Source organism: Homo sapiens, chromosome 22 (assembly GCF_000001405.40).
Source record: "Homo sapiens chromosome 22, GRCh38.p14 Primary Assembly".
Classification (NCBI taxonomy): Eukaryota; Metazoa; Chordata; class Mammalia; order Primates; family Hominidae; genus Homo; species Homo sapiens.
Window position 1 is genome coordinate 49,669,944 of NC_000022.11, and position 11,360 is coordinate 49,681,303.

Below are 11,360 nucleotides of genomic sequence, written 5' to 3' on the forward strand. Positions count from 1 at the left end.
TAAAGGTTCTCCAAGTCCCCAATAGATTAGCTAGATACAGAGTGCTGATTTACAAACCTTGAGCTAGGGACAGGGTGCTGATTGGTGCATTTACAAACCTTGAGCTACACACAGAGTGCTGATTGGTGTATTTACAATCCCTTAGCTAGACATAAACGTTCTCCAAGTCCCCACTAGACTCAGGAGCCTAGCTGGCTTCAGCCAGTGGATCCTGCACCGAGGCTGCAGGTGGAGCTGCCTGCCAGTCCCGTGCGCCCGCACTCCTCAGCCCTTGGGCGGTGGATGGGACTGGGCGCCGCGGAGCAGGGGGCGGCGCTCGTCGGGGAGGCTCGGGCCGCGCAGGAGCCCAGGGTGGCGCAGGGAGGCTCGGACATGGCGGGCTGCAGGTACCGAGCCCTGCCCCGCGGGGAGGCAGCTGAGGCCCGGCGGGAATTCGAGCGCAGCGCCGGGGGGCCGGCACTGCTGGGGGACCCGGCGCACCCTCCACAGCTGCCGGCCCGGGTGCTAAGGCCCTCACTGCCCGGCCCGCGGCGCCAGCCGGCCGCTCCCAGCGCGAGGCCCACGGAGCCCACGCCCACCCGGAACTCGCGCCGGCCCTCGAGCGCCGCGCAGCCCCGGTTCGCGCCCGCGCCCCTCCCTCCACACCTCCCCGCAAGCAGAGGGAGCCGGCTCCGGCCTCGGCCAGCCAGAGAGGGGCCCCCACAGCGCGGTGGCGGGATGCAGGGCTCCTCGGGCGTGGCCAGAGCGGACGCCCAGGCCGAGGAGGCGCTGAGAGTGAGTGACGGCTGCGTGGGCTGCCACCTGTCACCCGGCCCGGGAGAGCGCTTCCCTCCCAGCGGGCAGCCTGCCCCAGCCAGCCCTCGGCTCTCAACCCGGGGGTCAGCGTTTCCTGCAGGAGCCTCTGCTAGCTCCAGCTGGAGCACTGGCTGGTTGAGGGGAGGGGATTGAACACTTGGAACCCAGACCCCGGCTGGGGATGGGGAGGGAGGCTGGAGACCACCATCTGCTCCCACAGGGCTGAGTCTTGGTGCCGGCCAAGCCCTGACCCCCTCCAGCCCCACCCACGCCCCTCGTCACCCCCGGCCCCTGCCGTCCCTGCGTCCTCTGCACCCCCAGCCCCTCACGTCACCTCCTGCCCTCCCCACGCAAATCCTGCGCTCCTGTCACACGGAGGGGAACAAAACAGGGTAGCAGCAGGGACGTGGGGGTGTGGCCGGGACCCCAGATGAAAAGGAAGGCAGGTGGCACCCTTCGACCAGCGTCCAGGCAGCGTTTCGGATTCCCCCAAAAGGAGGGCGGGGCTGAGAAGCAGGACAGGAACCACAGGATTCTCCGCCCCGCGCCACAGGTCAGCGGAGAGAGAGAGGCCTGCGGATTGTGACGCTTCTTCTCGAATCCCTGTCTTGTTCTCACTGTATAGTCACACACACAGCCCGTCACATGTATCACGTCGTGAAACAAATATCCGTGGTGTGGATGCACCCCCACTAACTTAGCCCTTTAGCAGCAAGAAAATCCCATTTATCCTTAAATCCTCAGCACCCAGCCCAGGGTCTACCATAAAAGTTAAAGAGTCGAGGCTGTAATAAGGGGTGGGGGCAGATGTTTCACCAGATCAGATGCCCCCCCAAGCTCCTTCCAAACCGCGAGCGTTGCTCTCTCTCCAGTTCTAAAGCGGACGGGGGGAGTTTGTCTTTCCCGAGTGTGTTCGAAATCCCTCTCCTTCCTTCAGTCACTGCGGGTCATTCAAAAACTACTCAGATGCTGAAACGTAGCTTTCCACCTTGGCTTGGGAACAGTGGTTCGAAAGTACTTCTTGAAACCTATGGAAATGCAGTATCTCTCCAAAATGTTCTGTTTGGGAGGTAATGATGGGATCGCAGGTGTTCGGAACAGAACGTCGTTAAGCGTCCTCAGCCCCGCTGGAGCCAGGGCGGAGGGGGCGGCTCCGACCTGTCCCTTCTCATCACATCAGTTACTTTCCATTAGCGGGAGGGGAAATCAGCAGATGCTGGTGAGGGGGGTCCCGGCGGGAAGCAGACCCCTTCTGTGCATAAACACTCAGATCTTGGACTGTGAACAAGGTCTTTTGGCAACACTTCTGGTTAATACGTTTCATGAATTTATGAAATCCTAGCACTCAACGTTTCTCCACGTGGATTATTGCCAGGCTGTGAGGGGAGAGGGCTCTGACCAGCATCTGCCGATCTGAACTTCCAACAGAGATAAATGGGGAGACACTGTTTCCTCAACCAGGAATCGTTCGGCTTCTGTGGGGGCTGCAATTATCCTTCAAAAACCGAGCGCCTCAAGGCCCTTAAGGAAAAATTGCCCCAGCGGGGGTGGGGGCGGGGGGCGGCTTCTGAAGCAGGAAATGCTCTGCTGGGGGGAGGCGCGGGGAACACTGAGGATTCAACCCCCATCAGACATAAGAGCAGGTTCTGGTCCTCACTTCAGCCTCCAGCATCTTCTCGCGGGGAACACTGAGGATTCAACCCCCATCAGACATAAGGGCAGGTTCTGGTCCTCACTTCACCCTCCAGCATCTTCTCGCGGGGAACACTGAGGATTCAACCCCCGTCAGACATAAGGGCAGGTTCTGGTCCTCACTTCACCCTCCAGCATCTTCTCGCGGGGAACTCTGAGGATTCAACCCCCATCAGACATAAGGGCAGGTTCTGGTCCCCACTTCACCCTCCAGCATCTTCTCGCGGGGAACACTGAGGATTCAACCCCCGTCAGACATAAGGGCAGGTTCTGGTCCTCACTTCACCCTCCAGCATCTTCTCGCGGGGAACTCTGAGGATTCAACCCCCATCAGACATAAGGGCAGGTTCTGGTCCCCACTTCACCCTCCAGCATCTTCTCGCGGGGAACACTGAGGATTCAACCCCCATCAGACATAAGGGCAGGTTCTGGTCCTCACTTCACCCTCCAGCATCTTCTCGCGGGGAACACTGAGGATTCAACCCCCGTCAGACATAAGGGCAGGTTCTGGTCCTCACTTCACCCTCCAGCATCTTCTCGCGGGGAACTCTGAGGATTCAACCCCCGTCAGACATAAGCGCAGGTTCTGTTCCTCACTTCACCCTCCAGCATCTTCTCCACAGAGAAGGGAAGGAGAAAGAGGAGGAATCATTCATTCTGAAATAAATTATCTGTGGAAAACAGAATTCGACTGATAAAGAGTCCACTTCTCAGCAGCAATCCTAAACGAGCACCTGGCACACAGCCGGGGCCCAGGGGGCCTGTCCAGCGAGTGAACGAGTGACCCAGGGATGTCTCATCAGAGGCCAGTGCACCAGCACAGCCGGCAGTCACACGGGGATGGCCACGCACAAACGCACGGGGCTCCAGTTAATTCTCCAAGAAGAAAAACATTTTGTTCTGAAAAACGCGACTGTGATCTTGAAAGTGGTATTTCGTGGATGTGTCCCAAGGGCCCAGCACAGTGTCTGGCACGTTTAGAGCCTCTGAAAAGAGAGGAGAAAGAAGTGAAGGGAGGAAGGAGACAGAGGGCAGGGGAGGGGGAAGGGAGGGTGGGGAAGGGGAAGGGAGGGAGAGGGGAAGGGAGGGAGAGGGGGAAGGAGGGGAAGGGGGAAGAGGGAAGGTGGGGAGGGGGAAGGGGAAGGGGGAGGGAGGACAGAGGGGGGGGAAGGGAGGAGGAGGGCGGGGGAGGGAGAGGGGGAAGGGGGAGGGAGGGGGATGGAGGGGGAGGGGGAGTGAGGGGGAGGGGGAGTCCCTAGAACCCGCCCCCGCCCCCATGGAGGAAAGGAGCCGGCATTCCTGCAGCATTTGGCTCCTCCAAGGCCCCTTCACTTCCCTTCCGAGAGGTCACTGTGGCTCTGGACTCTCCCAGCACAAGGAGTGGACATGGACAACAGTGAAAGTCCTACTTGAGTTGGCCAGTGTCTCAGCCTTCAAAACCTCCCCTCGGCCAGTGAAGTGACCCCTAACCTCCCTCAGTTCCTCGCCCTGTACCCCATCATCAGCTGCACCCCTGAGAGCCATGGAGGGGGACAGGAGGGCGGGGCCGAGTGGGGGGCACCCTGGGCTTCACGGAGCTTGGCCTCTGCAGGACCCAGCCTCATGTCGCTTCAGGGCTCCATCGGCTTGGGAGAAGTGCAGCTGCAAGGAGAAGCCAGGAATGTTACTTCACTTCGCTTGGAATTCTAACCTCTTTCCTCACCGCAGCCTGAATGTTCCAGTCAGTGCATTAACACACAGAGAGGAGGTTGTCAATCCCCTCGCAAATGTGGCCACTTAACAAAGATGCAGCTTATTGTCAGCGCGTCTTTCATGAGCTTGTAAAAGAGACACAAAGAGGCTGGGTGCGGTGGCTCACTCCTGTAATCCCAACACTTTGGAAGGCCAAGGTAGGCAGATTGCCTGAGGTCAGCAGTTCGAGACCAGCCTGGCTAACATGGTGAAACCCCATCTCTACCATAAATACAAAAATTAGCCGAGCGTGGTGGCACGCACCTGTAATCCCTGCTACTTGGGAGGCTGAGGCAGGAGAATCGCTTGAACCCAGGAGGCGGAGGTTGCGGTGAGCTAAGATCACACCACTGCCCTCCAGCCTTCGCAACAGAGTAAGACTCCTTCTCAAAAAAAAAAAAAAAAAAAAAAAAGAGAGACACAAAGAGAGGAAGGGCATTTGAATCGGATCATCAGATGCTGTGACGGTGCCAGCGTGCAGACACAAATGCCCTCCTCTGTAGCAGGGGTTCCTGGTATCCTGGTAAACTCCCCAGGCAGCTCAGATGCCCAGACTCCATGCCAAGCCAGCTGACGCTAACTGTAACTCTCGCCGGTTCTTTGAGAGCACAGATGACCTCCACATTCGCAATGTAGCTACATACTCATCAGTTAGAGGAGACAGAGAAAGCCCAGTGGATAAAGACAATTACTCAAGTGGGAAATTACTGTGTTTTCGTAACAATGTGTCACAGCACAGTCCCTGGGAGGGTGGAGGACTCAGAAAGAGGAGAGGAAGCCAGGCTTGGGGCTCACACCTGTGATCCCAGCACTTTACAAGGGGCTGAGGCGGGAAGATCACTTGAGCCTAGGAGTTCAAGATCAGCCTGGGAAACATAGGGAGACCCTGTCTCAACAACAACAACAACAAAAATTAATTTAACTTGTAAAAATTGGCCAGGCAGGATGATACACACCTGTAGTCCTGGCTACTTGGGAGGCTGAGGTAGGAGGATCACTTAAGCCTGGCTTAAGGCTGCAATCAAGGCTGCAGCGAGCCATGACTGCACCACTGCACTCCAGCCTTGGCTACAGACTAAGACCCTGTCAAAAAAAAAAAGAAAGAAGGAAGGAAAGGAAGGAAGGAAAGAAAGGAGGGAGGGAGGGAGGGAGGGAAAGAAAAAGAAAGAAAGAAAGAAAGAAAGAAAGAAAGAAAGAAAGAAAGAAAGAAAGAAAGAAAGAAAGAAAAGAAAGAAAAGAAAGAGAAAGAAAGGAGGAAAGGAAAGAAAGGAAGAAAGAAAAAGAAAGAGAAACAGGAGATGAAAATTCTTGCCAGGGAGTGTGGCTAAAACCTACCCAGTCTAACAGTAAATCATGATGCCCAAGGGGAGGGTGCACCGTGGGGAGCAAGCTGGAGAAATGAATTCCAACTGAATGGCATATCCAGAGGTCCAGCCTCTAAAAACAGAATCATTCAGGAGGGGCAGATTGCATGTGAACTAACAACTTAAAATGGGTTTTCCTTTAAGAGAGTTATTTCCTTTCTCCACTTAGGAATATTTCATTGGTTCCAGTTGTATCGCCATCTTTCTGGCCCTGAGTTGGTGCAACCCTTGGGTTGTATCCATCCATCCAACCCAACCTAACCCTGGCCTGTAAGCCAACTGCCTACAACTCGCTTGCAGTGGTCCAGGCATGGCCAAAGGTGAAGGAGGATAGGATAAATTACATTAAGTCAAGACAAACAGGGTTTCTTTCTTTCAGGTAATTTTCCTCGTTTATTAAAATACATACAGAGCATGAGTTTAGGGCACATTTTTGAAGTATCTCTGATCTCAGAAAAGGTAGGAGAAGACTCAAAAGTAACCAAATTTTTTCAAGGATTACAGCTTATCTATTGCTCATTAAATGGATTAGAGAAGCACAGTGAAGGATGATTCATATTGTCTTAAACATCCAAAGCACAGTGTCTCTTTATCAACGTGAGGGACGGCAAAGTGAAGCAAGGTATCTTCTACTTTGTAGAGACACACTGACCTGCTTCGGATCACTGGATCCCTGGACATTTCAACAAGGTCGCGAGGTCCTGAGTTAGTGTGGGTTGATCTCTCCTCTCTGAGATATTTGCTACTTCCAGCTCACCAGACTCGAGCAGCATGATACCACCAATGTGGCTGACCAGCATGATGTTCTGTGGGATGGTGAACCGAGATGACCCAGTCCTAATTCTGACAGACGTCAGGAACACTGACTCGGCCCTAAGATGAGGCTGTGAAGGTATACTTCTGCCCCTGTTGTGTGAAAGCTGCTTCTTGGGCTAATTGGCCGATAAAAGCATTTGCCAGCTCAAAGCTGCTTACAGGTGTCAAGATGAAGGTTAAATTTTCTCAGTAACAAAACTGCATATTGAATACTGGTGACAAGAGCCATTATCCAAGTTTACTGTGACCCACTGTCATTTCCTAACACCCATAGGTTGTTTCACAGCCAGACATTGTTTTCTGATATTTCACAAATCAAAGCTGCTATCCTACATATTGTTAATAAATATTTTAAAGCTTCCCATTAAGCTATGATGCATTCAAGATTGTAAGATACATCAGAAATTAATTAATTATGTCAAAAAATGTAGGAAGACTTCCTACTCACCCACCAAGCTCTCAAAGCTCAGCAGAGAATCAAACTTGGTGCAGCCCTGTCCATACCACCTGCCCCGCCTCTCCCAATGTCTCTGATTCACCTCCCCCTGGAGTCTTCAAGCTGGCCCCCAGGTACATGCCCAGCCTCCCTCCCCAATGCCAGGCCCTCACCTTCGCAGACCCCACAGTGGCCTCCTGCTGATCTCAGCACTTCCTGTTCAACCCTCCTCAGGTGGGCAGAGGGGCCACCTTCACAGAGCAGGAAAGGCCAGGTCCACCGAGCTGCCCACGGCCCCCTGATCCCCATACTCTACAGCAAGATCCCATGCTGGGATACAGCAGAGTCACCTGCAGGGTTTGCTGGGCCCAATTCCCCTGGCTTCTAATCCAGCAGGTCTTGGGTGGAGCCCAGGAATGGCCCTGGTGACCTGTCTCCTGGCGAGGCAGCTATTGCTGGCCACTCGGGGTGGACACTGTGGGGCACGTGCCCTCCCCCAAGGAGCCTGAGCTGCTGGTTCCCTCCCCCTTCCTGCCAGGTGCCCCCAAAGCACCCTGAGAAAAGGGCTTGAGCATAAGTAGCTGACTTGGGAGATGACCCAGGAAACCGTCGGGGGTGCAGGGAAGTGAACAGGGAAGGGACAGAGCTGGAGAGGGGCCTATGGTCAGGCCATGCTGGGGGTGCACAGAGCCCATGGAGAACATGAGAGCCAGTGCTACCGCACCGAGGCCTGAGGGAGCTGGGGATGCACTACACAGCAAACACCGCCCCCTGAGCAGGACCCTGGGAGGGGCTGCCTAATTCCCCAGCAGCCCACCCAGGCAGAGGGGACTCAGCTGTCAGAGGCCTGCAGGGGCATCAGTGGAGACGCAAGTGTTGGCAGCTGGACGTCTGGCCGGGGTGTGGGTGGCCCGACCGCGTGGGTGACATCCCCCAACCACAGAGCGCTCGTCACGCCTTTTGGGGGCACTCCCTGTGTCTTCAGTGCCCGAGCCTCGGCGTCCTCCTCTCTGAGCTGGCGCCCTTGCTGTCTCCTTGAAGTGTGCTGACCCGGCTCTTGCTCATCCTCAGAGAGTGGGGTCCAGCTCCCTGGGGCCAGCGCTTCCCAGACATCAGACACCACAGACCGAGGCCACAGGCTGTGTCTGACATAAATATTTCACGTGTTTATATACAACCTGGCGCTTATGGGTGCTCAGAAGCCTGGAGACTACCTGGGAAATTGAATTCCTGTATATTTTCATTCCAAAGAAATTATTTATAAGCGATTTATGGAGAACATACTCCTTCATAAATACATATTTACATTCCAGACGTTTCCCAGGGCAGAGCCAGTTGTGCGTGCTGTCAGCCTGGACATGTGTGTGCGCACACACACACACACATATACACGTCCTTACCTCTTCATTATTAAACTTAATTCTTCCATATGGGAATTTAGGTTTTTAACCTTGAAAATGATGAAAATCAGAACAGCGCTGCTTTCCAGGAGCCTTTTTACCTATCGGCTCAGGGGTGGGAGCTGGAGCCCCAGGCCGGCTCAGGCACCCCCGGCAGCACAGGCCAGGAGCCACTGGTCTACCTCCCCCACCCTGAGATGCATGGAGCCGTAGGGGCCTCTCAGGGAAACTGAGGCTTATTTCCTTCGTGGGCCCACACACCTGTGTAGGTGGCTGGGCACAGAGGAAGCTCGGGCTTTGCGGAGGAACAAACACAGACGATGACGGGGACAGAGGTTGCCGGTTTCTAGAAAGTGGCTGTTGGGCACAGAGGAAGCTTGGGCTCTGCGGAAGAACAAACACAGACGATGACGGGGACAGGGGCTGCCGGTTTCTGGAAAGTGGCTGTTGATGTTGCTGCTCCAGTCTGAATCCACCCCCAGAGAGGTGGGATGGGACCACGGGGGGCGTGCAGGACACTCCCCAGGAAAGCCACAGGGAGTCAGCAGGAGCCCAGGCACCCCACGGCCCAGCCCCTGAGCTCAGAAGGGAGGTCACAGAGGCATGCAATGCAAAGGGTGACAGTGCCACTAAACGTTCTTACGGGAAGACAAAGACCCCAGTCTCGGTTGCAAAACAAAGTCCAGATTTATTCTGCTCACAAAAGGCAGAGTGATTTTTAAAATGATGGGGATTAAGAAGGCAAAAGGACAAACAAAACCAAGGAGATGGACGCAGACTCACAGTGTAGGGGGGCCACAGACGGGAGCAGACACGACCCCAGGCAGATGCCGTGGACGGAAGGAAAGCAGGTGCCTCTACACAGACGAGAGGCGCGACCCACATACGGAAGCTGCTACAAGAATTCAGATGTGCTCAGTAACAGGGCACTGAAATGTTCATATAAGACAAAGACAAAAGTATTTTCAAATTTGACAGAAAAGCAGTTACAGTGAAAAAATTTAACCTTTCACTCGCTCTTCAAATGTTGAGATGGACAGAGATAGATGAGATTGTAGGAGGAAAATAAATAAGATGATTAATAAGGATGATTTAATAAATATGCATAGACATAGCACACACTTTTCCTCTAAAATTCATGAAAGATTTGCAAATATCCATCATCAATAAGGCTGCAGAACGAAAACTACAATAAATTGTAAGAGACAGAAATGACAGTTCTGTTCATCTGAGACAAGAAGACCAGAAAAACATCATAAAAATAAATACGGTTTAAAAAAGCCAACTATAGGCAATTTTAAAACATATATGATTCTGTTCTAAAAGGAAATAAAAATTTTAAGTAGTATGCTTTCCAAAAATTAAAAGAATTCTCTGGGCGGAAACCTGGAGGGCCTGGCCAGAGCTCAATGCAGAGGGGACGCCTCAAGTTCGGATACCGTAATTATCAACTCAGAAAACAGGAGGGGATCACAGGGTCGAAACTCTCAGAGGAGCTCTGGAGAACAGAGAAGTTAAAACAGAGAAATGGGAGGAAGATGGCACTTCATAATGAATTGGAAAACCAGGACTTTTATCCCTGGATCATTGAAAAATCACACCTTTTTGAAAAAGCCAGTAAACTAGCTAAACCTCTGAGAACCAATGGAAAACACAACATATCAACCAGCAAAACATGTTTAATTGCAAAAGAACACTATGGCAAATGTGTTATTTTTGGTAAAATGTCTGCTTAGAACATGTTGTACAACTCGGCGAGCGTATTTGAAAGTGTCAGTAGCACACAGGACTTCCGGGGAAAAGTGTAATTTTCTGAAAGGAGCTTGCCATGTAGAAAGAATAAGCAGCTAACTGGATAGTAATGATTATCCAAAAATCACCACAGAAGAGGGTTTGCGGCCCAGAGTATCAATGCTGAGTACAATTATTTGTCACTTTAGAATACAATGAAAATTTTTAAATATTTTTAAAAAGAGCTCTGCCTGACTGCAAGTCATAAAGATTTTTCTCCTGAGAGTGTTAGAGTCTTACATTTTACATTTATGTCTATGGTCCCTTCTGAGTTATTTTTTGCATAAGGTGTAAGCTTCAGGTTGAGGCTCATTTTTTTTGTCATGGATGTTCAGTTGATCCAACACCATTTTTGAAACACTATTCATTAAAACTTCGAATTGCTTTTACACCTTTGTCAAAAACCGGCCATGTTTCTGTGTGGCTATTTCTGGCTTCTTCACTCTGTTCCATGGGTCTATGTTTCTTGTCTTTCACTAACACCACACTCTCTCAACTACTGTAGATTCATCGTGAGTCTTAAAATCAAAGATTCCTCCAACTTCCTTCTTCTTTTTTAGAGTTGGTTTAGACATTCTTGTTTCTTTGCTTTTCCATGTAAATTTTGGAACCAACTTACCTATGTCTACAAAACATTTGTGCAGAGTTTGACTGGTGTCATGTTAAATCTATGGATTACCTGTGGAAAGTTGTCATCTTCCCTTCAGAATTTTCTATACATCAACATGACATGGCTTTCCAGTTATTTAGATCTTTGCTTTCTTTCACCAACATTTTGTAGTTTTCAGCATACAACATACTTTTTAAAAATATTTATATCTGGCCAGGCACGGTGGCTCATGCCTGTAACCCCAATATTTTGGGAGACCAAGGTGGATGAATCACTTGAGGTCAGGAGTTTGAGACCAGTCTGGCCAACATGGTGAAACCTGGTCTCTTCTAAAAATACAAAAATTAGCCGGGAGTGGTGGCGTGCACCTGTAATCCCAGCTACTCTGGAGGCTGAGGCAGGAATTGCTTGAACCCGGGAGGCAGAGGTTTCGGTGAGCCGAGATGGCACCACTGCACTCCAGCCTGGGCGACAGAGACTCCATCTAAAAAATATATATATATATGTTTAAATATTTCATTTTTGGAACCATTGTAAATTGATTCATTTTTTATTTTTGTTTCTCATTGTTCATGGCTAACATATAGAAATCTAATTGTTGGGTTTTTTTTTTCACCATTCTCCTGCAAGCTTGCTAAACTTATTTACTATAGAAATTGTTTTACAGATTCCTTGGGATTTTCTATGTAGACATATTATCTGTGATTAGGGATGAACATTTTTAC

General features: G+C 51.5%; 3 annotated features.

Annotated features, from left to right (window-relative positions):
* Positions 63 to 112: a silencer, noted in NCBI's record as "silent region_13920". NCBI's record gives its function as "represses an Ori minimal core promoter by ATAC-STARR-seq in GM12878 lymphoblastoid cells {active_cell/tissue: GM12878}" and the evidence as "EXISTENCE:reporter gene assay evidence [ECO:0000049][PMID:35858748]".
* Positions 853 to 902: a silencer, noted in NCBI's record as "silent region_13921". NCBI's record gives its function as "represses an Ori minimal core promoter by ATAC-STARR-seq in GM12878 lymphoblastoid cells {active_cell/tissue: GM12878}" and the evidence as "EXISTENCE:reporter gene assay evidence [ECO:0000049][PMID:35858748]".
* Positions 7,408 to 7,907: an enhancer, noted in NCBI's record as "H3K4me1 hESC enhancer chr22:50070999-50071498 (GRCh37/hg19 assembly coordinates)". NCBI's record gives its function as "activates a minimal SCP1, AML or CMV promoter by ChIP-STARR-seq in naive H9 embryonic stem cells {active_cell/tissue: H9 hESC(naive)}" and the evidence as "EXISTENCE:reporter gene assay evidence [ECO:0000049][PMID:30033119]".